The following is a 27,515-nucleotide window of genomic DNA, read 5'->3' as shown; positions in this document are numbered from 1 at the left end:
AGGTTCCTAGAGCAGTCAAATCCAGAGACAGAAAGTAGCCCGGTGGTTGCTGGGAGTTATGGGGACAGAGGAATGGCCAGTTGGTGTTTAATTGGTATGGAATTTCAGTTTGGGAAGATGGAAAAGTTCTGGAGATAGATGGTGGTGAGAGCTGCGCATTAACGTGAATGTATTTCATGCCACTGAATTGTACACTTGAAATTGTTAAAATAGTAAATTTTATGTTAGGTGTATTTTACCACAATAAAAAAGAGGCCGGGCGTGGTGGCTCTTGCCTGTAATCCCACACTTTGGAAGGCCAAGGTGGGCAGATCACCTGAGGTCAGGAGTTCAAGACCAGCCTGGTCAACAGTGTGAAACCCTGTCTCTACCAAAACTACAAAAATTAGCCAGGCGTAGTGGCGCATGCCTGTGATCCCAGCTACTCAGAAGGCTGAGGCAGGAGAATTGCTTGAACCCTGGAGGCAGAGATTGCAGTGAGCTGAGATTGCACCACTGCACTCCAGCCTGGGCATCAGAGCGAGACTCTGTCTCAAAAATAAATAAAAATAAATAAATAAATAAATAAATAAATATGTATATTAGGCCAGGTACAGTGGGTCACACCTGTAATCCCAGCCCTTTGGGACTCTGAGGTGGGCAGATTGCTTGAGCTCAGGAGTTCAAGACCAGCCTGGGCAACATGGTGGAACCCCGTCTCCACCAAAACAAAACAAAAAATAGCTGGGCATAGTGACATGCACCTGTAGTCCCAGCTACTTGGAAGGCTGAAGTTGGGGGAGGATTGCTTGAGTCCAGGAGGTCGAGGCTGCAGTGAGCTGAGATCACACCGCTGTACTCCAGCCTGGGCAACAGAGCCAGATCTTGTCTCAAAATAAATAGATAAATAAAAATAAGTTAATTAATTAAATGAAAACTGATGATTCAGAAAGGAACAAGCAAACACAAACCCAATGCCAGTTGCCGTGTTTGGTGCTCTTCTTGCTTCTCTTGTGAACAGCAATGTGCGGAAGTGGTTCTGTGGACTCACTTGCAACCTAAACTTTGAGGTCAATGTCTCTCAGCTGTGAAAGTCTACCAGGTGCTGGGGGGTAGTTTCGGAGCATAATCCTCACAGTTGGGGAAGAAGTATTTTCTGGGGAGAAGATAAGGCAGCAGTGGATGAAGCACTGGCCAGGTTTGAGGAGATGACTTGATGGGGCCCCCATGGGAGAAACTAATTGTTAAATGTGGGAAGAGGGAAAGGAGCAAAGAGATGGACCGCAGGGTCTTCACCCGCTTCTTGGACTCTGTCTGCAGCTCACAGTGGCCTCCACAGCTCCCCAAGGTTCTGGCCACATCCCCAGGCTTAAGGAAGAGGAAAAGAAAGTTCCCCTCGTGCCTCAGACCCCAGCTCTGCACTTGGTCCACCATCCCCACCAGCGATGTCAGGAAAATGCCTCGCCAGCAACCCAGCGCTCACCTCTGCCTGTGCTTCCCCTCATCCACATCGCAAGTGTGTCCCGGTTACCGCGGAATCAGGCTGGGGAGAGATGTGGTGGTGGCAGCTCCCATCGTAATCCCCCACCCTTTAAGCCTCCCTGCCCCACTTCTCCCCTCGACCACCTGTTCTCCCTAACTCATCTCTCCCCTCCGCCTCTCCCCTCCGGAAGGTTTACATTGCTACCCACCCACTTTCATGACTCCACCCACTCTGCTTCCATTTCAGTTGTTTCAGTGTGGGGTTAAGAGCTGAAGGACAGGATGCCCCCTTCCCCAGGAGCTGCTGGGGCTTTCGCTGGGCGTGTGCCTACCCACCCACCCACTGTGAGCTGTTGACTTGGTGATGTGCATTCCCTGGGAGAGGCCGTCTCACTTGTTTCCTCTCTGGGATTCCTCCTTGGAGTGCTGGAAGGTGAGAGGGAGTGAGGAGCAGGCAGGGGCTGGGGCTGATGGACACCCAGGGAAGCCTTCCAGTAGACAAACCCGATGCAGGAAGACCTCCTTTTATCACGTTTGTGGCTAGGAATTGGGTCTTTTTGGATTTGCCTCAAGGCTTCCCTAAGAATCCTTTTTTCTTTTTCTTTCTTTTTTTCTTTTTTTTTAAATGGAGTTTTCGCTCTTGTTGCCCAGGCTGGAGGGCAATGGTGCAATCTCGGCTCACTGCAACCTCTGCCTCCTGGGTTCAAGTGGTTCTCCTGTCTCAGCCTCCCAAGTAGCTGGGACTACAAGCACGTGCCACCATGCCTGGCTAATTTTTGTATTTTTAGTACAGATGAGGTTTCACCATGTTGGCCAGGCTGGTCTCGAACTCCTGACCTCAGGTGATCCACCTGCCTCGGCCTCCCAAAGTGCTGGGATTACAGGTGTGAGCCGTCGCGCCTGGCCAGAATCTTCTTTTATTGAGTGTGCGTCTAAAATAGATTTCAAGTTACGGGTGGCAGCTGGAGACCCTACTGTTAGTGAGTAAGGAAAATAACCATCAGCTTCTTTACTCCCCAGGTGCTGGGTGGAGGGGAACACAGGCCAGGAAATACTAATGATTGTGATAAAGAGCTCCCCAGGGGCCGGATGTGGTGGCTCAAGCCTGTAATCCCAGCATTCCACGAGGCCAAGGTGGGAGGATTGTTTGGGCCCAGGAGTTTGAGACCAGCCTGGGCAACATGGCAAGATCCTGTCTCTACAAAATATAAAAAATTAGCCAGGCATGATGGTGTGCGCCTGTGGTCCCAGCTACTTGGGAGGCTGAGGTGGGAGGATTGCTTGAATCTGGGAGGTCGAGGCTGCAGTGAGCTGTGATCATGTCACCTGCACTACAGCCTGGGCAACAGGGCAAGGCCCTGTGTCCAAAAAAAAAAAAAAAAAAAAAAGCCGGGCACGGTGGCTTACGCCTGCAGTCTCAGCACCTTGGGAGGCCGAGGCAGGCAGATCATGAGGTTAGGAGATCGAGACCATCCTGGCTAACATGGTGAAACCCCGTCTTTACTAAAAATACAAAAATTAGCCGGGCGTGGTGGCGGATGCCTGCAGTCCCAGCTACTCGGGAGGCTGAGGCAGGAGAATGGTGTGAACCCGGGAGGCGGAGCTTGCAGTGAGCAGAGATCACACCACTGCACTTCAGCCTGGGCGACAGAGCGATACTCTGTCTCAAAAAAAAAGTCCCCAGGACCCAAGGAAGCTGCCCAGAAGTTTTCTGAAGAGGCTCCCTGCTGCAGCTCTGAAGAGGAACAGGCTGTGCTGCTGCCCCTGCTTTCAGGATGCTTGCAGCTTTCTCCCGCTCTCTCAGTAAGGTCTGCTGAGCACTGCACTGACGGCTCCCAGTCCCCTCTCAGTGAAGACACCAAGAAGCAGCAGCCAAGCAGCAGTCGTGGCTGCCTCCCAGTGGCCCCGGCTGTAATCTTCTGTTCAAGGTGCCCACACCAGATCTCAGCTGTAGAAAGCAGAGAGGCTTCAGCTGCCCTAAGAGCTGGCTCTGCGGCTGGTGACTCAGCGGGGGTGAGGGTTGAGGCGGGGGAGTGGGGGTTGGGACTTGGGGCCTGAGGACTCATCACTGATGACAACAAAGCCCAGGGGATTTTGTGCAGAAGACAGGAAGCTGAGTCCCAAGAACAAGCCCAGCAGCAGAACTGCAAAATCTAATGAATCCCCAGTAATTCCATTTATGCCACTGAATCCTCCCTGTGGGTTCAGAAAAACAGATCCCTGCTTCATGCTTCCTAAAAATGCAGCATGAACCAAGATCTAAATTCCACAACCAAGTGACCCCTCTTTCTCTTTTCTGCTGCCCACCTTCCCCGCCCCAGCCCACACCCACCCCCAAGTCCACAAGAACATCCAGAGTGATGTGGGTGGAGATTTTCCTTTATTTGATTTTATTTTGGAGAGGAAGGGCTAGAGCAAAAAGATGATGCCAACACACCGGGCACTAGAATGACCCCTGCACATGCAGAACACACGGACACTCAAGCTGGATTAGTGACTGAGCAAATGTGCCCCGTGGAGAGAATGTCACCAGAGCTGCAAAAGCCCCCCGACCCCAGCTTTTATTAGTTTTAAGACCCCCAACCACACCCACCCCAGGTCTCCTTGTTTTCAGTAAGCAGACCTCCTAGCAAACTGGGCTTTTACTCCTGTGGGCTCAGTGCCACATCCCCTCAAATAAACATGCATCCTCTAGAGCAAAAGGGAAATTGACAGGATGCTGGAACGCCGAGAGATGGGATGCTTTATTTTTCATTATCCACCAGCTTGGGAGAAAGGCCACCTTCCATCGCACCAGTGAGAGGCGGGAAAGAGCGATCGGGCCCTTTCCCGTCTCTCAGGCCTTGTGCAACATGGCCCTGGCTGCTCACTCCAGCCCTGCCTGACTTTAAACAAACCCAGTCAGTACCCTTCCACCTCTTGCCTTGGGAAGAAGACATTTGAGAGCTCACAGATATAGTGCAACCGGTTATCCAAACCAACATGTTCTCTTGCTCAGCTTCTGTTCTATCCAAAGGTCTCATCCTGCTCCCCCAAGGGGATTTCTGATATCTGAAAACCCCAAACCTGACTCCAGGCCTCCCCAGCAACGTGTGAGCCCCATGGAATGTATTTATTTCATTGCAACAACCCCTCACAACCCGGCCTTCCTGCATTTCCCGAGCGGTCTTGGGTTTTTCTCAGCATCTCTCCCGGTGGCGTGTTGTGGTGCCCTGACTTGGAGGTGTGCAGGGTGGCAGGGGAAGTATCAGGTGCCTTTGCTTTCTGTCCTCTCCTCGTCAGCCGTCTGAGCGTTGCTGACAGCGCGAAGCTGCCCCTGGGCTGCAGGCTTCACCGACAGGACCAAGCGTTTGCGGAACGTCTCACAGAGCACGATGTACACAAAGGGGTTGAGGCAGCTGTTGGCATAGCCCAAGCTGATGGCCGCATTGTATAAGTAGACAAAGGTGAGGGTCGGGCGGCTGATGGACAACTGGGTCAGCTGTAGCACATAGTAGGGTGCCCAGCACACAAAGAAGACCAGACAGATGGCGATGGCTGTGCGGGTCACCCTCTTTGTCCGCAGCCGGATGCTGCGCTGGGAGGCGGGGGCCACTGAGGACGTCATGCGCTGCAGGATCCTCACGTATGCGGCTGTGATGACCACAAAAGGCAGGGCAAAGGCCAGGAAAAACTGGTACAGGGTGAACCAGTAGAGGTCAGTGTCTGGGTTGGGCAGGCGTATGCCGCAGCCCACTGCACCTCCTGGGAAGGGGATGAGTCTGGCATACAGCCACACAGGGGTGATGCTGATGAAGGAGAGGGCCCACAGGAGGCAGATCACCAGGGTGGCCACAGAGGGCTTCCGGAACTTCGTGGAAGAGATGGGGTGGACAGTGGCCAGGTAGCGGTCAATGGCCATGGCGGTCAGGATGTAGGTGCTGGTGAACTGACTATTGGCATCCATGGCCGTGATGAGGGTGCACATGGTCTCCCCAAAGTGCCACACCCCATTGCCCATGAGCTGGTGGATCATGAAGGGCATGCCCAGGAGAAAGAGGAGATCTACTACCGAGAGGTTGATGATGAAGATGTCGGGGACGTTGTTGCACCAGTGCAGCTTGGACTTCTTCACGACCGCGAAGATGACCGTGGAGTTCCCGATGATGCCCAGGAGGCAGATGGTGCCGAACACCGAAGGCATGATGATGTTGATGTAGGAGATGCTCCCCGTGCGAGGAGGTGATCCTGGGGACAGAAGGAGCAAGCGTTGGCTGTTTGACATGGGCTTTGCTCTGAGAACTGACATCCTGCTGGCATGCTCAGCCTCCAGCGACCCACCGTTCATCTGGAATCCTCTCCCACCATTCTCCCTCCCTTCACTGTTGCTAATCTTGTCCCTTTTCCCTTCTCCATGAGTTTCCTGGTGAATCCTACCAGAGTGCCCTGAGCCATCTGTCTTGGAAGGACACAACATGCCTGCCTCCTGCAGGCACCAGAGGCAAGAACCACAGTTGTCTGCAGAGATTACTCTGTGAGCCCCGGGCTTCACCAGGAAAACTCGTCAGCATAGCCAGAAGGACACAAAAGTAAGTGTCTGTGTATGTGTGTGTGTGTGTGTGTGCGTGCTTTTCCTATGTGTAGCCCTGAGTGTTTCATTTTGGAGATCTCTGGTTGGAAACTGTGTACTGATTCTTGGGCATATCTGTGGGTGACTGTCTTGTAGAGGCTTTTGCCGGCTGTGCCCTGGTCAAGCCAGCAGCTCTCCCTACCCCAGGCTTCCTAGCGGGGATTTCCTTGATTGGTATCTTCTGAGCCTGGGCTTCTTGAGTGAAGCAGAGACAGAAACTGTCTGTTGGAGCTCAGCAGCCTGGAAAAATTATCTACATAAGCCTTTCCTCTTTTCCTTCCTTCCTTTCTCCTTCAAAGCTGGAATCCCAGGGCACCGCAGCTCTGGAAATGTCAGGAAGCTTAATTCACCAGAAAAGTTAATCCCCTCATGGCTCTGTGAAGTCTTCCCTTCCCAGGGCCTCTCCCAGGTGGCAGTAAGGATGTCTCAGACCTCATCATCCAAGTGGGAGTAAAAAGCTGAGGCTAACAGTGCAGGAGTGAGCCCCCAGCTGTCTCCCACATACCACCCTCCAGCTTCTCTCGCTTGCTTTTCCAGCCTGGAATTTTTTCTGCCAAGCATCTTTGGAACCCAGCAGCGAGCCTTCCCCTGCTGTCTCACGGCTGGCCCCCCTTCCTTGCCATTCTGAATATGCCTTCGCCCCCTGCTCTGCTCCTGCCCGTCTGCCCCTGCGGACCATTGCCCCCTTTTCTCCTGCCCCTCAGAGCAAAGCAGACCACAGATCTTGTCCCCAAGAACTGTGATAAAGTTTCCCAAGCAGTTTGGCTCAGGGGTGAAACCTTCCCATTTTCCACCCACAGCCCAGAGGAGGGAGGGCTCCCAGTCAACTCACCTGCCGAAGTGAGGTTATCGGGGCCATCAGAGGTGTTGCTGGCGTTGGGACCAGTGGGCAGCAGCGAGGCTTCCAGGTCCATCCAGCCAGTGCCGGTCGCCTGCTCCCACAACCGAGCTGAGCTCCCCTCCACCCACGCAGGCTGCGGCAGCCTCCAGCGCCTGCCACCTTGTCCCGGAGCGCAAGCCCCGCAGTTGGGAAGGGGGTCTTCCTCCGTAGCCTGGCAGCCGCTGCCGCCTCCAAGCCCAACTGCCCTCCCCACTCCCTTCTTCATGGCTCCCACTGACATCACCTAGACACATTAACATTCGGAGGCAGATGCACATTAACCTCTTCAGTCCCAGGCTGTGGCTGGCTTCCACTTCTGAATGCCTGCAGAGCCCCAGGGCCCTGGGGAAGCTGGGAGGGACTGGACACAGGCAGCCCCATCAGGAAAGGGATCTCCTTCCCACTGACACTTGGGATTGTCTCGTGTGCTTACAGGGGCTGCTGCTTGCCTTGCGTGAAGATCGAGGTCTCTGCAAAGGCAAACGGACAAAGCACACAGGCTGCCTCCCTTTGGAGGAGAGAGCAGCTTGGCTTAGCCCCTATTCCAGGTATGGGTGGCTGGGCCACATGGCAGAGTCCAGAGGAAACTGTGCACATAGCTTGGGAATCAAAGGCTTGGACTGCAGCAGGGCTGCCCCCCATGCACACTCAGGGCACCCTCGGCCCCTTCCCTGTGCCCTGACGGCTTCCAACTATCTCGCTGGCTATGCTGCCAGCATCCTGCAGAAGCTGAGTCGTCAGCTGCTGAACCCTTGCCTGGCACTCAGAGGTGACACAGGTCACTCCATGCTGGCAATAGCCAGGACCTCGGGGACTGGAAGGGGACAAACTCCTCTCTGCATGGGATCTGCCTGGACCAAGCTCACAGAGGTGTTATTTTTCTAAACGCTCTGAGGTCCCTGAGGTTTGGCCTGGGACTCTTTGAGACAAATATCTGAGCATGATCCCCCAAAGAGATCATCCCGGAGGAACAGCTGCAGAGGCAAAGGCGTTAAGGGAATTTTCCACGGAGGCATCCTGCTGCCAGCCTCTGGGGCCCTCACAGACAGGAGCTGCCACTGCACCCACTGCCAGACTCAGGAGCCAGGGGTCGAGGTTCACGGGCAGATCCCTACATGTGTCCTCTATCTTGTTTACTTATTGGGTTCATCCAACAAACATTCATTGAGTACTTACTACCTGCCAAGCACTGTTCTAGGTTTTGCAGTAAAAAAAAAAGAAAAAAAAGTGGGGGTGGGGTGGGGGATAAAGTCCCTGTCCTCATGAAGATTGCATTCAAGTTGCGGGGAGACAGAAAACCCCTCAAAAGACAATTCATGGTATTGGCAATTACTATGAAAAACTTAAAGCAGGGTGAGCTGGCCCCTGAATACCAGCAGAGGTGGAGGTTGCTATTTTATATAGGATTGATCATCGAGGAAGACCTCACTGAGAAGCGCTTCCAGAAAAGTCCTGAAGGAAGTGAGGAACCATGCTTAGAAATATTCTGGAGGACCAGCATTCCTGGCTGTGGAAATCGCCAGTGCAAAGGCCGTGCGGCAGGAAGTGTGCAGGGTGATTCTGAAGAACAGGGTTGGGCCAGGTGCAGTGGCTCATGCCTGTGATCCCAGCACTTTGCGAAGCCAAGGTGGGTGGATTGCTTGAGCTCAGGAGTTCAAGACCAGCCTGGACAACATGGTGAAACCCCGTCTCTACAAAAATACAAAAATTAGCCGGACATGTTGGCAGCTGCCTGTAATTCCAGCTACTTAAGCAGCTGAAGCAGGAGAATCGCCTGAATCCAGGAGGCAGAGATTGAAGTGAGCTGAGATTGGGCCACTGCACTCCAGCCTGGGCGACACAGAAAGACCCTGTCTCAGAAAAAAGAAAAAATATGGCCGGGCGCAGTGGCTCACACCTGTAATACCAGCACTTTGGGAGGCCGAGGCTGGCAGATCACGAGGTCAGGAGATCGAGACCATCCTGGCTAACATGGTGAAACCCCATCTCTATTAAAAAATACAAAAAATTAACCGGGCGTGGTGGCGGGTGCCTGTAGTCCCAGCTACTCGGGAGGCTGAGGCAGGAGAATGGCGTGAACCCGGGAGGCGGAGCTTGCAGTGAGCCGAGACCACGCCACTGCACTCCAGCCTGGGTGACAGAGCGAGACTACGTCTCAAAAAAAAGAAAAAATATATACTCCACATAAAGATAACTTATGATATTGGCAATTGCTGTAAAAAACTTAAAGCAGGGTGAGAGGGCCCAGGAATACCAAGAGAGGTGGAGGTTACCATTTTATAGAGGATTGATCATCAAGGAAGGCCTCTCTGAGAAAAGTCCTGAAGGAAGTGAGGAAGCATGCTTAGAAATATTCTGGAGTGGCCGGGCGCAGTGGCTCACGCCTGAAATCCCAGCACTTTGGGAGGCCGAGGCAGGCGGATCATGATGTCAAGAGATCGAGACAATCCTGGCCAACAAGGTGAAACCCCCTCTCTATTAAAAATATAAAAATTAGCTGGGCGTGGTGGCGGGCGCCTGTAGTCCCAGCTACTTGGGAGGCTGAGGCAGGAGAATCGCTTGAACCCGGGAGGTGGAAATTGCAGTGAGCCGAGATCATGCCATTGCACTCCAGCCTGGGTGACAGAGTGAGACGCCGTCTCAAAAAAAAAAAAAAGAAGAAGAAATATTCTGGAGGACCAGCATTCCCTGCCATGGAAATTGTCAGTGCAGAGGCCCTGTGGCAGGAGTGTGCAGTGTGACTCTGGAGAGCACTGTGGCTATAGTAGAGATTAGCAGGAGCTGTCATCAGAGAGGAAGGAGCAGGAAGGGCAGATTCTGCCAGGCCTTGCCAGCCAGTATAAGCACTTTGGCTTTGCCTTTAGGGGAAATGGGAGTCACCAGGGGGTTTTCAGCTGAGAAAAGACATGATCAGACATGTTTTGAAAGGATCAGTCTTGGCCGGGCACAGTGGCTCACGCCTGTAATCCCAACATTTTGGGAGGCTGAGGCGGGTGGATTGACTGAGGTCAGGAGTTTGAGACCAGCCTGGCCAACATGGTGAAACCCTGTGTCTACTAAATGTACAAAAATTAGCCAGGTGTGGTGGCAAGCACCTGTAATCCCAGCTACTTGGGAGGCTGAAGCATGAGAATCGCTTGAACCCAGGAGGTGGAGATTGCAGTGAGCTGAGATCACGCCACTGCACTCCAGCCTGGGTGACAGAACGAGACTCTGTCTCAAAAAAAAAGAAGCTCTTTGTGGCAGGGGAAGCTTTTTGCAGTAGAGGAAGGCCTCACTGAGAAGCACTTCCAGAAAAGTCCTTAAGGAAGTGAGGAAGCATGTTTGGTGGGAGGTGATTGGACCATGGGAACAGATTTCCCCCTTCCTGTTTTTGTGATAATGAGTGAGTGCTCATGAGATCTTGTTGTTTAAAAGTGTGTAGCTGGCCAGGTGTGGTGACTCTTGCCTCTAATCCCAGCACTTTGGGAGGCCAAGGCAGGCGGATCACCTGAGGTCAGGAGCTTGAAACCAGCCTGGCTGGCATGGTGAAACCCTGCCTCTACTAAGCATACAAAAATTAGCCGGGCATGGTGGCATGTGCCTGTAGTCCCAGCTACTCAGGAGGCTGAGGCAGGAGAATTGCTTGAACCCGGGAGGTGAGGGTTGCAGTGAGCTGAGATTGTGCCATTACCCTCCAGCCTGGGCAACAATAGCGAAAATCCATCTTAAAAAAAAAAAAGTTCTAGAAATGGACAGTGATAATGGCTGCACAACATTGTGAACGTACTTAATGCCACTAAATTGGACACTTAAAAGTGGTTAAAATGGTAAATTTTATGTTACGTATATCCTACCACAATATATAAAGTGAAGAGGCAAATTTTATGTGTATTTTACTATGCACAAAAAATCCCAAAACTCTGCAATGGCCATCCCAGCATCCCCACCTTATTATTGTAAACCATTTCATGGAGCTATCCCAGAAGCATGTTAGGACTGGCTCCAGCTACATCCTGTGTTGCAGGAGAGTTCTCCCCTGTCAATAAACTGTCTCCTTTCTTTTTTAATTAATTAATTTATGTATGTATTTTTTCATTTGAGACAGAGTCTTGCTCTGTCGCCCAGGCTGGAGTGCAGTGGTATGATCTCAGCTCACTGAAACCTCTGCCTCCTGGTTCAAGTGATTCTCTGGCTTCAGCCTCCAGAGTAGCTGGGATTACAAGCATGTGCCACCATGCCCGGCTAATTTTAGCAGAGATGGAGTCTCACTATGTTGCCCAGGCTGGTCTTAAACTCCTGGCCTCCAGTGATCCACCAGCCTCAGCCTCCCAAAATACTGGGATTACAGGCGTGAGCCACCACACCTGGCCTACTCATTTTATTTGAGACAGGGGCTCACTCTGTCACCCAGGCTGGGGTGCAGTGGTGAGATTTCAGCTCACTGCAACTTCTGACTCCCCGGTTCAAGTGATCCTCCTACCTCAGCCTCCTGAGTAGCTGGTACTATAGGCACAAGCCACAACGCCCAACTAATTTTGGTTTTTAAAATTTTTTGTAGAGACAAGGTGTTGCTATGTTGCCCAAGCTGGTCTTGAACTCCTGAGCTCAAGGTATCCTACTGCCTCGGCCTCTCGAGGTGCTGGGATTATAAGCATAAGCCACCACGCCTGGCCAAAACTCTCTCCTTTCAACCTTATATTTGCATCATCTAGCACCCTCAAGATCCACTTCTGGCCAGATGGGGTGGCTCTCACCTGTAACCCAGCACTGTGGGAGGTAGAGGTGAGAGAATCGCTTGAGCCCAGGAGTTCAAGACCAGCCTGGGCAACACAGCGAGGCCTTCTCTACAAAAAATTAAAAATTAGCCAGGCATGGTGACATGCGACTATAGTCCCAGCTACTTGGGAGTCTGAGGCAGGAGGATTGCTTGAGCCCAGGAGATTGAGGCTGTAGAGAGAAGTGTTTGCACAATGGCACTTCAGCATAGGTGACAAAGCAAGACCCTCTCTCAAAAAAAAAAAAGATCCACTCCCACACATAGTCCCTTTATTTCTCCCAGTCCTTATTAGCTGGTCCTGGTCCTCATGGGTGAAGTATTTTCTCCAAAAGCAGAAGCTGTATTTCCCATCCCAAGCTATAACACTGAGACCTGCCCCAGTTATTGAGTCTGAAGCAATGGCAGGCTCTCTGCTCCTCCTGTTCGACTGACAGCTGCATCTTCTCATGCAGCACCAATTGCGTCCCTGAGGCACCAAGGGAAAAGCGAAGGCTGGAGTAAACAGATTTGGACATATTGGATGCCTGGTTACCAGGGCTGCTTTTAACTCTAGCACAATGGATATTGTTGCCATCAATGACCCCTTCATTGACCTCAGCTAAATGGTCTACATGTTCGAGTATGATTCCACCCATGGCAAGTTCCACAGCACCATCAGGCTGAAAACGCGAAGCTTGTCACCAGTGGAAATCCCATCACCATCTTCCAGGAATGAGATCCCACCAAAATCAAAGGAGGTGATGCTGGTGCTGATTATGTTATAGAGCCCACCAGTGTCTTCACTACCATGGAGAAGGCTGGGACTTACTTAGATGGGGGAGCCAAAAGAGTCACCATCTCTGCCCCTTCTGATGCCCCCATGTTTGTGATGGGTGTGAATCATGAGAAGTATGGAAACAGCCTCAAGATTATCAGCAATGCCTCCTGCACCACCAGTTGCTTAACCCCCCTGGCCAAGGTCATCCATGACAACTTTGGCACCATGGAAGGACTCATGACCACAGTTCATGCCTTCAGTGCCACCTAGAAGACTACTGATGGTACCTCTGGGAAATTGTAGTGTGATGGCTGCAGGGCTCTCTAGAACATCATTCCTGCCAAGCCTGTGGGCAAAGTCATCCCCGAGCTGAATGGGAAGCTCACTGGCGTGGCCTTCCACGTCCCCACCACCAACATGTTGGTCATGGACCTGACCTGCCATCTGGAGAAACCTGCCAAATACAGTGACATCAAGAGGATGGTGAAGCAGGCATTGAGGGAGATCCTCAAGGGCATCCTGGGCTGTACTGAGCACAAGGTCGTCTCCTCTGACTTTGACAGTGACACCCATTCTTCCATCTTCAATGCTGGGGCTGGCATTGCCCTCAACAATGACTTTGTCAAGCTCATTTCCTGGTATGACAGGGTGGTGAACCTCATGGTCCACATGGCCTCCAAGGAGTAAGAGCCCCAGGCCACCAATCCCAGTGAGAGCACAAGAGGAAGAGGGGGGCCCTCAGCTGCTGGGGAACCCTGCTGCGCTCAGCCCCCACCACACTGAGCATCTCCCCTCGACACAGTTTCCATGTCAGACCCCTGAATAGGGTGGGGCCTACGGAGACCCACCTTGTCATGTACCATTAATGAAGTCCCCTGTACTTTGCCAAAAAAAAAAAAAAAGTCCCTTGTACTTGCGAGTGTTAAGAGTCAGGAGAAGTAACAATGAGAGGAAATGAGGAGCATATCTGAGGAAAAACATCCTCTTGCAAGTCAGTTGAATCCTAGCATGACTTCCAGACAAGGGCAGGCTGCTCTCCTCTAGCAAGGGAGAGAAGGTTACTTTTGCTGGCCTGGAATGTTCAGGGGGTTCAGAGAAATCTGGGGGTTCAGTGTTCTCAAGTACACCCAGATGTCCCCTGCTAGGCATCAGGGTTCCAATCCTTTCCTATCAGGGACTTGACTTTGGCTTTGGTGATGTGTTAGGGCTGCCCATATTCCATCTTTCTTGCACCTCTGCAACTCTTACAATTAGAATCTGGGTCTTATTCTCAGCAATGTCTGCCTTATTGCTGCAGAAGATGAGGGTCTCTCATTGTTGCTTTGGAGGCCTTCTGGCTTTTGTTGTATGTCCTGAATTGATAGCTGGCTATCTGACTCTGCCATTTTTTTTTTCTTATCTCTTCTTTTTTTTTGAGACAGAGTCTCCCTCTGTCACCCAGGCTGGAGTGCAATGGCCCGATCTCAGCTCACTGCAACCTCCACCTCCCAGGCTCGAGTGATTTTTGTGCCTCAGCCTCCTGAGTAGCTGGGATTACAGGCACCTGCCAGATATCCAACTAATTTTTGTATTTTAGTAGAGATGGGGTTTCACCATGTTGGCTAGGCTGGTCTTGAATTCCTGGTTCTGCCAGGATCTGCCCACCTTGGCCTCCCAAAGTACTGGGATTACAGGTGTGAGCCACTGCACACAGAGTCTGCCATTTTTTTCTTCCAGTCTTCCAAAGCAGTTAACAAAAACCAGCTAACTCCATAGTCCTTATAATTACCACAGCTCCCACACTGTTCACATCTAGAGCTACTGCATAGTTCAATGTTTCCTCTTCCACTTATACTTCATTTCAACCAACCACAGGTAAGAGTGTCAATATGATGCTACTGCACACCAGGCCAGGGTTGTTAAGCCCCCTATTTACCACCAGCAATGGAATCCTTGTTGGCTTCTGACTGGTAATTGATATATTCCAGAAACTCAATTGGATGGAGTTGTGGGGGAGGTCCCCTTCTTTCTACTGTCACTCCTGGTACCAATTTTCTTAATTTGATTTTCTCTAAAAGCAGAGCTTGAAACAAGGACTTGTGTGCAGTAGTTTATTTTAGATGTGATTTTAAGGAGCAGGTGTCAGGGAACAGAGTGAGTCAGGGAAGAAGGAAAAGCCAGGATAAGGGTACATTGCCAAGTTTGCTGCTGTGGGCAATGGGGGCTCAATTTGTCCAGGCTCTCCCGGGAAGTTTAAGAATGTCTACCAGCCGGGCACGGTGGCTCACGCCTGTAATCCTAGCATTTTGGGAGGCCGAGGCGGGTGGATTGCCTGAGCTCAGGAGTTCGAGACCAGCCTAGGCAACACAGTGAAACCTGTGTCTACTAAACCACAAAAAATTTGCCAGGCGTGGCAGCGCGCGTCTGTAGTCCCAGCTACTCGGGAGGCTGAGGCAGAAGAATCGCTAGAACACGGGAGGCGGAGGTTGCAGTGAGCCGAGATTGCACCACTGCACTACAGCCTGAGCGACAGAGTGAGACTCTGTCTCTTAAAAAAAAAAAAGAAAATCTGGGACCTCCTCCCTCTTTCTCAGGTAGCTGAGGCATGAGAACCACCTCTAGGAGGCAGAGGTTGCAGTGAGCCAAAAAGGTGCCACTGCACTCCGGCCTGGCAACACAGCAAGATTCCGTCTCAACAACAACAAAAAAGTTCCGTTTTAGGCCAGATGCGGTGGCTCACGCCTGTAATCCCAGCAATTTGGGAGGCCAAGGCAGGTCAATCACGAGGTTAGGAGATTGAGACCATCCTGGCTAACACGGTGAAACCTCGTCTCCACTAAAAAAAAAATACAAAAAATTAGCCGGGTGGTGACGGGCACCTGTAGTCCCAGCTACTCGGGAGGCTGAGGTGGGAGAATGGCATGAACCCGGGAGGCAGAGCTTGCAGTGAGCCGAGATCACACCACTGCACTCCAGCCTGTGCGACAGAGTGAGACTCAATCTCAAAAAAAAAAAAAAAAAAAAAGTTCTGTTTTAGACATGCTACATTGGAGATGTCTATTCACTTCCTAATGGAAGTAGTGGTTAGCAGTTGGATGTAAGAGTCAGAAGTTTTAGCCAGGCGTGGTGGCGCATGCCTGTAATCCCAGCCACTCAAGAGGCTGAATCAGGAGAATCGTTTGAACCTGGGAGACGGAGGTTGCGGTGAGCCAAGATCAGGCCATTGCACTCCAGCCTGGGCGACAGAGCGAGACTCTGTCTCAAAAAAAAAAAAAAAAAAAAAAAAAAAGAAGTTCAAGGGAGAAGTCATGCCTGAAGATAAAAAATGTTTATTTTATTTATTTATTTATTTATTTATTTATTTATTTATTTTGAGATGGAGTCTTCCTCTGTCGCCCAGGCTGGAGTGCAGTGGTGTGATCTCGGCTCACTGCAAGCTCCAACTCCCGGGTTCATGCCATTCTCCTGCCTCAGCCTCCCGAGTAGCTGGGACCACAGGCGCCTGCCACCAGGCCCAGCTAATTTTTTGTATTTTTAGTAGAGATGGGGTTTCACCGTGTTAGCCAGGATGGTCTCGATCTCCTGACCTTGTGATCCTCCCACCTTGGCCTCCCAAAGCGCTGGGATTACAGGCGTGAGCCACCGCGCCCTGCCATTTTATTTTTTATTTTATTTAGCAATCTCAAAAGCTCACAGAGATATAAATTTAAACTGATGAGACTGGATGTGCTTACTTAGGGAGTGAGTGTGAATAAAGGTGTTGTGAGGACTGAGCTCTTGGGCATTCCAAAGTTTACAGTTTGGGAAAATGAGCATTACTGTCCAGTATCTCCTCCTCTTCCACATGCCATAGTCTTCCCATCTCCATTTACTCATCCTTTCATCCATCAGACAAATCATTACACAGCATGTACTACATACCAGGCACTGTGCTAGGCTCTGTGGATACAGTGGGGAAAAACGAGCAAATGCCTGGTATAAGGGAGCTTAAACTAAAGTGGGGAGAGACAAATAATGACAAGCAAGCTGATAAGTGAACGAGATGTCCTTTTCAGGGTTCAAATCCAGACAAATCCATGTAACTTAATCACAAAGGGCTTTAGGGACTCACAAAATCATGGCTCTGGAGTTAGGCCATCCCTGCCATTATCTGCACTACCAAAGTGACTGAGCCTGGCCAGAGGAACTTAAACCAAGACTGAGCAGCAAGGGAAGCAGAGAGGGGTGGGTCTGAGCTCTCTGGCCTTTGAATGGTAGGAGTGAAGGTGGGAGGAGTGAACACTGAGCAAGTCAATCCATAATGCCAGCTACACAGGCTGATTACTGACTGTTTTTAGTGTCACTGAGGAAATGGATGGGGTGATGAGAGTGACTGGGGGTGAAGGGGTCTTTTAGAGAGGGAGTTAAGGATGTCCTCTTTGAAGAATTCAGGTAGCATGCTCAACACCCATTCTACTACAAATGATTACTTTAAACCAGTGAATCAACAGCAATCTCATTCCTCTTGCCAGTGACTGTTTCAGGGGTGAGCATGTCTACTGGACACCCATGTGCATCTCTTCAGGTCCTTTTCACCACACCTAGCTCATAGTTCATCCATTGACCTGCTCTGGCACAGTCCCCAACAAAGTCCAGGTACAGGTGCAGATACAGCTGTGACCTCACGGTGCTGTGTGCCTTTTACCCTCTGTCTTGGGTCTTCTCTGTTGCTGCCACAACTTAGAATCTGGGAATCCACGGAGTGCCCTCGCATGAACAACCCAGAAGTGCAGGGAGAGTTAATGCTCCTTAGGGGAACCTTTGACCAATGTAGGGTGGAAGCCATGGATAGGTACTTTCCCCAGGATTCCCCAGGACATACCATCCTGAGGCATATTTCATGTAGCTTCCCAGCAGCCCCATAGGTTAGAGCAACCAAACACTTTTAGCCCTGGCCAACCGGAAATCATTGCTTTGTTGCTATCTGCTTCTCTGCTTTGCTCCTCTACCCTCCTTCCTGATTCCCAGGATCGCTCTTCCCAGTAAAATACCGACACACCCCCTTTGTCTCAGGCTCTGTTTTCTGGGAACTGGAGGCTAAAGCAGCATGTGACTCATTCTTACTAGTGACAGTAAAGGGGAGGAGTGTTGTGGTGAGAGGCATTTGGTAAAGATTTCCTTGTTCTTGCAAAGATGATACAAAACGAGATTGTCTCTTTTGCCCCCTTTGAACTTTGTTTTGCCTGGACATGACACTGGTGTATTAGTTGGTTCTCACACTGCTATAAAGAACTCCTTGAGACTGGGTAATTTATAAAGCAAAGAAGTTTAATTGGCTCATGGTTCTGCAGGCTGGGCAGGAAGCGTGGCTGTGGAGGTCTCAGGAAACTTAAAATCATGTTGGAAGGTGGTGAGGAAGCAGGGTCATCTTACATGGCAGGAGCAAGAGGAAGCAAGCGAAGGGGAAGGTGCTACATACCTTCTTTTCTTTTCTTTTTTTTTTTTTTGTTTGAGACGGAGTTTCGCTCTTGTTGCCCAGGCTGGAGTGCAATGGCATGATCTCGGCTCACTGCAACCTCCGCCTCCTGGGTTCAAGCGATTCTCCTGCCTCAGCCTCCCCAGTAGCTGGGATTACAGGCACCTGCCACCACACCCGGCTAATTTTTGTATGTTTAGTAGAGACAGGGTTTCACCACGTTGGTCAGGCTGGTCTCGAACTCCTGACCTCAGGTGATCTGCCCGCCTTGGCCTCCCAAAGTGCTGGGATTACAGGCATGAGCCACCACACCCGGCCAGCTACACACTTCTAAACAACAAGATTTCATGAGCACTCACTATCACGAGAACAGCAAGGGGGAAACCCGCCCCCATGATCCAATCACCTTCTACCAGGTAACTCCTCCAACACTGGGGATTACAATTTGACATGATATTTGGGCAGGGACAGAAATCCAAACCATATCAGTTGGGAACACTTGCAGCAGTGGAAAGTGTCCTCATTGATGGGATCCATCGGGTTGTCAGAAGGAAACAGAACAAACTCAAACAGGGAAATGCAGGAGAGTTTAGTAAAGGGCCTATTTGCCAGGGTTTGGGCATAGCTAAGGGAGATCAACAGGGAATGCTGAGCAGTGTGCTGGGGCTATGAACAGCAGAGAGCCACTGCCGCTCTCAGGCCTGGGGGCTGAGGGAAGGGGAGAAGTGAGCAGAATCCAGAAAGAGCAGTTAAAAAGTGAGGGAGCCCGGAATGGTGGCTCACGCCTGTAATCCCAGCACTTTGGGAGGCCAAGGTGGGCAGATCACCTGAGGTCGGGAGTTCGAGACCAGCCTGACCAACATGGAGAAACCCTGTCTCTACTAAAAATACAAAATTAGGTTTGGTGGCACGTGCCTGTAACCCTAGCTACTCGGGAGGCTGAGGCAGGAGAATTGCTTGAACCTGGGAGGCGGAAGTTGCGGGGAGCTGAGATTGTGCCATTGCACTCCAGCCTGGGCAACAAAAGTGAAACTCTAACTCAAAAAAAGAAAAATAAACAAATTAGCCGGGTGTGGTGGCTGGTGCCTGTAATCCCAGCTTCTTGGGAAGCTGAGGCACAAGAACCTCTTGAACCCGGGAAGCAGAGGTTGCAATGAGCTAAGATTGCGCCACTGCACTCCAGCCTGGGCAACAGAGCAAGACTCAGTTGCTGTCTCAAAAAATAAAATTTTTTTTAAAAGTGAGGCGGCCAATCAGCAGTAACCTGGCAGGGAGCAGTCCAAAGGAGTAAATAATCTGACCTCACTCTCCTCTTGCCCTCTGACCTCTGTCTGTTGATGCTGTTCTTGAGGGTCAGCATCTTGGGGCCCAGGGCAGGGTGGAAAGGGTGAAAAGTGAATTTAAAGGGGCAAATGGAAAATCAGCCCCACTGATTCAGGAGGAGGCGTTCAAGTTGATATCATCGTGTAATTAATTATTGAAATGACTAGGTTTTTTTTTTGTTTGTTTTTGTTTTTGGAAACAGAGTCTTACTCTATTGCCCAGGCTGGAGTGCAGAGGCACGATCTCAGCTCACTGTAACCTCTGCCTCCTGTGTTCATGCAATTCTCCTGCCTCTGCCTTCCAAGTAGCTAGGATTACTAGTGTGCACCAACACACCCGGTTAATTTTTGTATTTTTAGTAGAGACAGGGTTTCACCATGTTGGTCAGGCTGGTCTTGAACTCCTAGCCTCAAGTGATCTACCCACCTCCACCTCCCAAAGTGCTGGGATTACAGGCATGAGCCACTGTGCCTGGTCAACAACTAGGTATTTTGTTATCCTCTGTCAATCCAGATAAGGAAACTGAGACAAAATTAATATAGAGAGTGATTTGGGCCACGGTTGAGGATTATAGCTTGGAAAACACTGAGAAGTGCTCAAAGAGAGGCTTGAGTTTTTAAAGAGGATTAATCAGGAGAGGGGGCGATTACAAAAGTTGAGTTTCAAGGATGCTCACTGGGTTAAAGAAATAACACTGATTAGTGACTAGCTGTACACTGTTGAGTTATAGCAAGTGAATTACAGTGTCCATTGTGTGGTGTTTTATGGCTACTTGGCATCAGTCAGTCTAGAGCCCACACAGCAAGTGGCTTCCAGAGCTGATTACTTAGCTGGAGGGGGAGTGAGACGTGACTGCTGTCACATTTCCATGCCTTTCTGGGCCTGATAATTTAAAGAGGGCTCACAGCCCGGAAAACACTGGGAAGTGCTCCAGAGAACCAAGGAGAGGCTCAAGTTTTTAAAGAAAACAGGATGAAAAGTTGCTTTTCTTTTTTTTTTTTTGGAAACAGGGTCTCACTCTGTTGCCCAGGCTGGAATGCAGTGGCATGATCTCACCTCACTGCAACTTCTGCTTCCCGGGTTCAAGTAATTCTCCTGCCCCAGCCTCCCATGTAAGCTGGGACTACAAGTACCTACCACCATGCCCGGCTAATTGTGTGGTTTTTATTTATTTATTTATTTGGCTCTGTTGCCCAGACTGGAGTGCAGTGGCACAATCTCGGCTCACTGCAACCTCCGCCTTCTGGGTTCAGTGATTCTCCTGCCTCAGCCTCCCAAGTAGCTGAGATTACAGGCACGCACCACCACTCCTGGCTAATTTTTGTATTTTTAGTAGAGACAGGGTTTCACCATGTTGGCCAGGCTGGTCTTGAACTCCTGACCTCAGGTGATCCACCCGCCTCAGCCTCCCAAAGTGTTGGGATTACAGGCATGAGCTACTGTGCCCGGCCAACACCCGGCTAACTGTTTGTATTTTTAGTAGAGATGGGGTTTCACCATATTGGTAGACTGGTCTTGAACTCCTGACCTCAAATGATCCACACGTCTCAGCCTCCCAAAGTGCTGGGATTACAGGTGTGAGCCACCATGCCTGGCTGAAAAGTTGCTTTTCTTTCTCATCTCATTTAATAGATGAAGTGAAGTGCCACAGGTTGGGTTTTCTGGGAGCAGATGCTGGGGTGGAGAGAGGAGTACCAAATGTGTCTGTGGGGTGAGCGCTGGCCAAGGAAGAAGGGAAGCACATCGGGAAGGGGTCCAGAGATTGTGATGCTGACCTGACAAGGGCTCTGCCAGCCCAGTGGGAAGCCCCAGAGCAAGGCAGTCCAACATTAGGCAGAAGTGGCCAGGCCCTGGCACCACAGCCCTGCCTAGTCGGTGGCTGGGAACCAACCCAAGAAGCGTGTGATCCCAGCTCAGAAGCTGAAACAAGGCTTCTCCAAAATCCAAAAATAGAATTACCATATTATTCAGCAATCCCACTTCTGAGTCTATATCCAAAGAAAATGAAATCAGTATCTCAAGAAGATATCTGTATCCCATGTTTATTGCAGCATTACTCACAATAGCCAAGTTATGGAGTTAACATAAGTGTCTGTATTAGTCAGGGTTTCTCCAGAGGGACAGAGGCAATAAGATATATATGAAAGGGGATTTATTAGAGGGAACTGGGTCACGCAATTACAGAGGCAAAGTCCTACAAGGGGCTGTCTGCAAGCTGGAGAACCAGAGAAGCCAGTACTGAGGCTCAGTCCAAATTTAACAGACTCAGAACCAGCCAAGCAAACAGTGCAGCCTCCAGTCTGAGACCAAAGGCCTCAGAGCCCCCACGAGGCTGCTGGTGCAAGTTCCAGATTCCAAGAGCTGAAGAACCTGGAGTCTTGTTTTCCAAGGGCAGGAGGAGATAGAGGCAGCCAGCTCCAGGAGGGAGAGCATGAGCTGAGTATCCCCACTCTTCTGCCTGCTTTGTCCTAGTGGTGGAATGGGGTCGGGGGTGGGCAGCAGATGGGATGGTGCCCACCCACACTGAGGGCGGGTCTTCCTCTCTCAGTCCACTGAAGCATACATCAATCTCCTCTGGGCTGGACGCCATGGCTCACGCCTGTAATCCAGCACTTTGGGAGGCCGCGGGGGGTGGATCACCTGAGGTCAGGAGGTTGAGACCAGCCTGACCAACATGGTGAAACCCCATCTTTACTAAAAATACAAAAACTAGCCAGGCGCTGGGCGCGGTGGCTCACGCCTGTAATCCCAGCACTTTGGGAGGCCAAGGCGGGTGGATCAGGTCAGGAGATAGAGACCATGCTGGCTAACATGGTGAAACCCCGTCTCTACTAAAAATACAAAAAAATTAGCCGGGCGTGGTGGCGGGCGCCTGTAGTTCCAGCTACTCGGGAGGCTGAGGCAGGAGAATGGCGTGAACCCGGGAGACAGAGCTTGCAGTGAGCTGAGATCGTGCCACTGCACACCAGCCTGGGCGACAGAGTGAGACTCTGTCTCAAAAAAAAAAAAAAAAAAACTAGCCAGGCATGGTAGCAGGCACCTGTAATCCCAGCTACTTGGGAGGCTGAGACATGAGAATCACTTGAATCCAGGAGGCAAAGGTTGCAGTGAGCCAAGATCATGCCATTGCACTCCAACCTGGAGACACAGGGAGACTCTGTCTCAAAAAAAAAAAAAAAAAAAAAAAAAAAAACTCCTCTGAAAACACCCTCACAGGCGCATCCAGCAACAATGTTTCACCAGCCAACTAGGCATCCCTCAATCCAGTCAAGTTGACACCTAATACTACCCATGGCAAGTCCACTCCTTGTCAGCTTGGCATCCATAAACATCTCCTTAAACCATACTTAATCTCCTCAAGTAAAGACAGTGACAAGGTCATAATTCTGCCTAAATGAAACAATTACCCTGTGCACAACTGAAAACACACTAATCCGGTCTCCCAGAAGAGGAGGTAAAGTTCTTGAGTGATATTTACTGTGATTATTCCGTAACTTGAATAGTATGATGTAAAATTCACAATTCTTAGGCTGGGCTTGGTGGCTCATGCCTGTAATCCCAGCACTTTGGGAGGCTGAGGCGGGAAGCTCACTGGAGCCCAGGAGTTCAAGACCAGCCTGAGCAATATAGTAAGACCCCCGTCTCTACAAACGAATAATTAAAAAATTAGCCAGGCATGGTGGTATGTGCCTGTAGTCCCAGCTACTTAAGAGGCTAAGGCAGGAGAATCCCTTGAGCCCAGGAGTTCAGGGCTGCAACGAGTCATGATCGTGCCACTGCACTGCAGGCTGGGCAGCAGAGTGAGGCTTGGTCTCAAAAACAAAAGCAAACCAAAAAACCATCCATATATTTCAACATTTTTTTTTTTTTGATATGCAGTCTCACTCTGTCACACAAGCTGGAATGCAGTGGCGCAATCTTGGCTCACTGCAGCCTCTGCCTTCCCTGTTCAAGTGATTCTCCTGTCTCGGCCTCCGGAGTAGCTGGATTACAGGCGCCTGCCACCACGCCTGGCTAATTTTTGTATTTTTAGTAGAGACGGGCTTTCACCATATTGGCCAGGCTGGTCTCCTGGCCTCAGGTGATCCTCCTGCCTCAGTCTCCCAATGTGCTGGGATTAGAGGTGTGAGCCACCGCAGCCAGCCAACTTTTTTTTTTTTTTTTTTTTTTTTTAGATAGAGTTTTGCTCTTTTGCCCAGGCTGGAGTGCAGTGGCGTGATCTCGGTTCATTGCAACCTCCGCCTCCTGGGTTCAAGTGATTCTCCTGTCTCAGCCTCCCAAGTAGCTGGGACTACAGGTGCGCACCACCACACCCAGCTAATTTTAGTATTTTTAATAGAGACGGGGTTTTACCATGTTGGCCAGCATGGTCTTGATCTCTTGACCTTGTGATCCCCCTGCCTCAGCCTCCCAAAGTGCTGAGATTATAGGCGTGAGCCACCGCGCCCAGCCTAATTTTTGTATTCTTAGTAGAGATGGGGTTTCACCATGTTTGCCAGGCTAGTCTTGAACTCCTGACCTCAGGTGATCCCCCCGCCTCAGCCTCCCAAAATGCTGGGATTACAGGTATGAGCCACTGCGCCCGGCCTCATTTCAACTTTTTGATCATTGAAAAAAAATCTTAAATTAATAAATAAATTAATAATTAATGAATCCTGCAAAGTATTGCCACCTACCCAGTGCTGCAACTGCAACTTCAAAAGGCCATTCCACCATTCTATTAAGCCAGCTGCTTCAGGATGGTGGGGGACATGGTAGCACCAGCGAATTCCATGAGCATGAGCCCACTACCTTACTTATTTGACTGTCAAGTGGGTTCCTTGGTCAGAAGCAATGCTGTGTAGAATACCATAATGGTGGATAAGACATCCCACAAGCCCACACATGCTAGTTTTGCCAGAAGCATTGCGTGCAGGGCAGGTAAGTCCTTATTCAGAGTAAGTGTGTGTTCCAATAAGGACAAAACCCTACCCCTTCTATGATGGAAGTCGTCCAGCGTAATCAACCTGCCACCACGTAGCTGGCTGACCACACTGGGGAATGGCGTCCTAGTGGGGGCTCCCTGTAGGTCTTGGCTGCTGGCAGATTGGGCACTGAGTGGTGGCCATAGCCAGGTTGACCTTGGTGAGTGGAGCCCATGTTGCTGAGCCCATGCTTAACCTCCATCCCTGTCACCATGGTCACTTTGTTCATGAGCCCACTGGAGAATGACAGGGGTAGCTAGGGAAAGGGGCTGACTGGTATCCACAGAATGGTTCATCCTATGCACTTGATTATTAAAATTCTCCTCTGCTGAGGGCACCCTTTAGTGAGCATTCACATGGGACACAAATATCTTCACATCTTCGGCCCACTCCGAGCAGTCTATCCACATACATCTTTCCCAAATTTCTTTGCCACCAATTTTCCAATCATGTTTCTTCCAAGTCCCTCACCACCCGCCAATCCATGGACTACAGCCCATGAATCAGTATATAATTGCACATCTGGCTGTTTCTCCTTCCAAGCAAAGTGCCAGCCCAGCAGGAAGCTTCAGAGGAAAGCAGTCCAACATTAGGCAGAAATGGCTGGGCCCTGTACCACAGCTCTGCCTAGTCAGTGACTGGGAACCACCCCAAGAAGAGTGCAATCCCAGTTTAAAAGCTGAGGCAAGGTTCCTCCAAAAACTAAATACAGAATTACCATACTAGGCCGGGCGTGGTGGCTCACGTCTATAATCCCAGGACTTTGGGAGGCTGAGGCGGGAGGGTCACCTGAGGTCAGGAGTTTGAGACCAGCCTGGCCAACATGGTGAAACGCTGTCTCTACTAAAAATACAAAAATTAGCCAGGTGTGGTGGTGGGCACCTGTAATCCCAGCTACTGAGGAGGCTGAGGCAGGATAATTGCTTGAACCTGGAAGGCAGAGGTTGCAGTGAGCCGAGATCAGGCCACTGCACTCCATCCTGGGCAACAGAGCGAGACTCCCTCTCAAAAAAGAGGAAACAAAAATCAAAGGTCTGGTATTAATCTTTTCATTGTGTATAGTTCCCTGGTAGATGGTCTCAGATACTCCTGGGGAAGGCTAGAGGCAGATTCCCAGCCCGTACTTGTGGAATTGCAGGGTCCTTTCTTGCAGGTATCCAGCTTTTACTTCTTCCAGGACTTCTGGAACAAGGGCTGACTCAGGTTTGGAAATTGGGTGAGAGACTGTGCTCTCAATCACGGTGGCTAAAGTCAGATCTCTGTTGACCAAGCCTGAAGTTTTTCACGTACACACATCAAGTAGCAACTTAGTGGATGTGCTGTTTATATATTTTGGTTCCACAGACTCCATGGTCAATTAGCCAAATCAATCTCTGCAGATCAGACCATCTGGGTAACTCCACTGGCCCTGCCTATTACAATAACCACATTCACTCTCCTCCAGAAATTAAGTAAGTGCTGCAACTTGCTTTCTATCACTGCAGGCTCTACACATCCCCAGTGAAATGAGGAAGCCCACTTCAGCTGCTGCCGTCCCCGCTGGCAGCTCTCACCAGGGACTGTTCAGAGGCACCGGTATTTCCCTTCCCAGTGAATTTCTCAAAGTCTTGGTTTTCTGGGGGATCAACTTATGAGCAACCAAAAAAAATACAATGTTTACTACAAACTCTGTTAAGGGGTTATTTATTTTGAAAGCAACTGGGAGCCACTAAAATGTTTTTTGTGTTTTTTTAGATGGGGTCTTGCTCTGTTGCCCAGGATGGAGTGCAGTGGCACGATCTCGGCTCACTCCAACGTCTGCCTCCCAGGTTCAAGCCATTCTCCTGCCTCAGTCCCACCCCAGCTCCCTGTCCCTAGTGGCTGGGACTACAGACGTACGCCGTTTCATTCTGAAATGTGTCTCCCGGTCTCGGAGGTGGGGCCTGCTGGGAGGTGATCGGATCATGGCGGCAGATCCCTTATGAATGGTTTAGCACTATCCCCTTGGTGATGAGTGACTTCTCACTCAGTTACTTCACATGAGAGCTGCTTGTTTAAAAGTCTGGGACCTTGGCCAGGTGCGGTGGCTCACACTTGTAATCCTAGCATTTTGGGAAGACGAGGTGGGCGGATTGCCTAAGCTCAGGAGTTCGAGATCACCCTGGGCAACATGGTGAAACCCCATCTCTATTAAAATACAAAAAATTAGGCTGGGCGCAGTGGCTCACACCTGTAATCCCAGCACATTGGGAGGCCGAGACGGGTGGAACACAAGGTCAGGAGATCGAGACCATCTTGGCTAACATGGTGAAACCCTGTCTCTACTAAAAAGCACAAAAAATTAGCCGGGCATGGTGGCAGGCGCCTGTAGTCCCAGCTACTCAGGAAGCTGAGGCAGGAGAATCACTTGAACCTGGGAGGTAGAGCTTGCAGTGAGCCAAGATCACGCTACTGCACTCCAGCCTGGGTGACCGTGCAAGACTCCATCTCATAAATAAATAAATAAATAAATACAAAAAATCAGCTGGGTGTGATGGCACACACCTATAGTCCCAGCTACTCGGGAGGCTAAGGCAGGAGAATCACTTGAACCCAAGAGGCGGAGGTTGCAGTGAGTCAAGATCGCGCCACTGCACTCCAGCCTGAGCGACAGAGTGTGACTCTGTCTCCAAAAAAAAAAAAAAAAAAAAAAGTCTGGGACCTCCTCCCTCTCTCTTGCTCCCACTCTTGCCATGTGACGTGCCTGCTCCCCCTTTACCTTCTGCCATGATTGCAAGCTTTCTGAGGCCTCAGCAGAAACCAAGCAGATATCAGCAACATACTTCCTCTACAGCCTGCAGAACCATGAGCCAATTAAACCTCTTTTCTTTATAAATTACCCAGTCTCAGTTATTCCTTAACAGCAACACAAAAACAGCCTAACACATAAACCAAAAGCAACGCTGAAACTCCTGGGCAACTGAAGCGATTAATAATATCATCACGGCCTTGAAAAATTCTGGGGTGGTGATTTTATCAATTTCCCCTTCATTCTTCAGTTTGGCCAGTGAAGATGGCAGATGGGTCTCTGAGAGAATGACAGTGAATTACCATAAACTTAATTATGTGACAACGCCAACTGCAGCTGCTGTTTCAGATATGTTCTCATTGCGGGAGAAAATAAACACAGTCTCCCACACCTGGTATGCAGTTACTGAGCTGACAAATGCTATTTCTCTATTTCAAGAAGAAGAGGTCAGACACCCTGCTTTCATGCATCAGAGTCATCAATACACCTTTACCATCTTGCCTCGGGACTCCATTAACTCTTCTGCCAGTTCTCCAAACCTCAGACTTTAGCACATCCTCA

The 27,515-nt window shown here is 50.3% G+C and overlaps 1 protein-coding gene, 1 long non-coding RNA gene and 1 pseudogene across 3 annotated transcripts, besides 10 other annotated features; 2 read left to right on the top strand and 1 right to left on the bottom strand.

The window, feature by feature from the left end:
* Positions 1,549-2,244: an enhancer, noted in NCBI's record as "H3K27ac-H3K4me1 hESC enhancer chr22:41080397-41081092 (GRCh37/hg19 assembly coordinates)". NCBI's record gives its function as "activates a minimal SCP1, AML or CMV promoter by ChIP-STARR-seq in naive H9 embryonic stem cells {active_cell/tissue: H9 hESC(naive)}" and the evidence as "EXISTENCE:reporter gene assay evidence [ECO:0000049][PMID:30033119]".
* On the top strand, positions 1,707-27,044 carry LOC124905123 (uncharacterized). 2 transcript variants are annotated; one of them, XR_007068110.1, is made up of 3 exons: positions 1,707-1,894; positions 5,860-6,029; positions 25,672-27,044. It is a non-coding gene; the product is annotated as an uncharacterized LOC124905123 (long non-coding RNA). The 2 variants fall into 2 exon arrangements; XR_007068109.1 differs by having other exon boundaries at positions 1,707-6,029; positions 25,672-25,853.
* Positions 2,245-2,940: an enhancer, noted in NCBI's record as "NANOG-H3K27ac-H3K4me1 hESC enhancer chr22:41079701-41080396 (GRCh37/hg19 assembly coordinates)". NCBI's record gives its function as "activates a minimal SCP1, AML or CMV promoter by ChIP-STARR-seq in naive H9 embryonic stem cells {active_cell/tissue: H9 hESC(naive)}" and the evidence as "EXISTENCE:reporter gene assay evidence [ECO:0000049][PMID:30033119]".
* Positions 3,218-3,512: a silencer, noted in NCBI's record as "tiled region #9058; K562 Repressive DNase unmatched - State 12:CtcfO". NCBI's record gives its function as "represses a minimal TATA promoter and a strong SV40 promoter by Sharpr-MPRA in K562 cells {active_cell/tissue: K562}" and the evidence as "EXISTENCE:reporter gene assay evidence [ECO:0000049][PMID:27701403]".
* Positions 3,218-3,532: a biological region, named in NCBI's record as "Sharpr-MPRA regulatory regions 5578 and 9058".
* Positions 3,238-3,532: a silencer, noted in NCBI's record as "tiled region #5578; K562 Repressive DNase matched - State 12:CtcfO". NCBI's record gives its function as "represses a minimal TATA promoter and a strong SV40 promoter by Sharpr-MPRA in K562 cells {active_cell/tissue: K562}" and the evidence as "EXISTENCE:reporter gene assay evidence [ECO:0000049][PMID:27701403]".
* Positions 3,825-7,153, bottom strand: MCHR1 (melanin concentrating hormone receptor 1). Its single transcript, NM_005297.4, has 2 exons — positions 6,903-7,153; positions 3,825-5,688 (listed from the first exon to the last, which is right to left on the bottom strand). The coding sequence occupies exons 1-2, from the start codon at positions 6,982-6,984 to the stop codon at positions 4,709-4,711; spliced, it is 1,062 nt and encodes a 353-aa protein (NP_005288.4). The 5' UTR covers positions 6,985-7,153; the 3' UTR covers positions 3,825-4,708.
* Positions 4,102-5,055: an enhancer, noted in NCBI's record as "H3K27ac-H3K4me1 hESC enhancer chr22:41077586-41078539 (GRCh37/hg19 assembly coordinates)". NCBI's record gives its function as "activates a minimal SCP1, AML or CMV promoter by ChIP-STARR-seq in naive and primed H9 embryonic stem cells {active_cell/tissue: H9 hESC(naive and primed)}" and the evidence as "EXISTENCE:reporter gene assay evidence [ECO:0000049][PMID:30033119]".
* Positions 5,056-6,010: an enhancer, noted in NCBI's record as "H3K27ac-H3K4me1 hESC enhancer chr22:41076631-41077585 (GRCh37/hg19 assembly coordinates)". NCBI's record gives its function as "activates a minimal SCP1, AML or CMV promoter by ChIP-STARR-seq in primed H9 embryonic stem cells {active_cell/tissue: H9 hESC(primed)}" and the evidence as "EXISTENCE:reporter gene assay evidence [ECO:0000049][PMID:30033119]".
* Positions 6,433-7,126: an enhancer, noted in NCBI's record as "H3K27ac-H3K4me1 hESC enhancer chr22:41075515-41076208 (GRCh37/hg19 assembly coordinates)". NCBI's record gives its function as "activates a minimal SCP1, AML or CMV promoter by ChIP-STARR-seq in primed H9 embryonic stem cells {active_cell/tissue: H9 hESC(primed)}" and the evidence as "EXISTENCE:reporter gene assay evidence [ECO:0000049][PMID:30033119]".
* Positions 10,139-10,639: an enhancer, noted in NCBI's record as "H3K27ac hESC enhancer chr22:41072002-41072502 (GRCh37/hg19 assembly coordinates)". NCBI's record gives its function as "activates a minimal SCP1, AML or CMV promoter by ChIP-STARR-seq in naive H9 embryonic stem cells {active_cell/tissue: H9 hESC(naive)}" and the evidence as "EXISTENCE:reporter gene assay evidence [ECO:0000049][PMID:30033119]".
* Positions 12,115-13,348, top strand: GAPDHP37 (glyceraldehyde 3 phosphate dehydrogenase pseudogene 37; annotated as a pseudogene).
* Positions 21,303-21,818: an enhancer, noted in NCBI's record as "H3K4me1 hESC enhancer chr22:41060823-41061338 (GRCh37/hg19 assembly coordinates)". NCBI's record gives its function as "activates a minimal SCP1, AML or CMV promoter by ChIP-STARR-seq in naive H9 embryonic stem cells {active_cell/tissue: H9 hESC(naive)}" and the evidence as "EXISTENCE:reporter gene assay evidence [ECO:0000049][PMID:30033119]".
* Positions 27,045-27,515: the final 471 nt, after the last annotated feature.

The sequence above is a fragment of the Homo sapiens genome, chromosome 22, assembly GCF_000001405.40.
Source record: "Homo sapiens chromosome 22, GRCh38.p14 Primary Assembly".
In the NCBI taxonomy this organism is placed as follows: domain Eukaryota; kingdom Metazoa; phylum Chordata; class Mammalia; order Primates; family Hominidae; genus Homo; species Homo sapiens.
The sequence above is the reverse complement of the archived record's forward strand: the minus strand, read 5'-3'. Positions and strand labels throughout refer to the sequence as shown.

Bases quoted from the DNA above. Each gene is read 5' to 3' on its own strand.
- MCHR1 (NM_005297.4), bottom strand. From the start codon at position 6,984: ATGGACCTGGAAGCCTCGCTGCTGCCCACTGGTCCCAACGCCAGCAAC. The intron at 5,689-6,902 runs GTGAGTTGACTG...TTCTGTCCCCAG, and splicing joins CGATAACCTCACTTCGGCAG to GATCACCTCCTCGCACGGGG.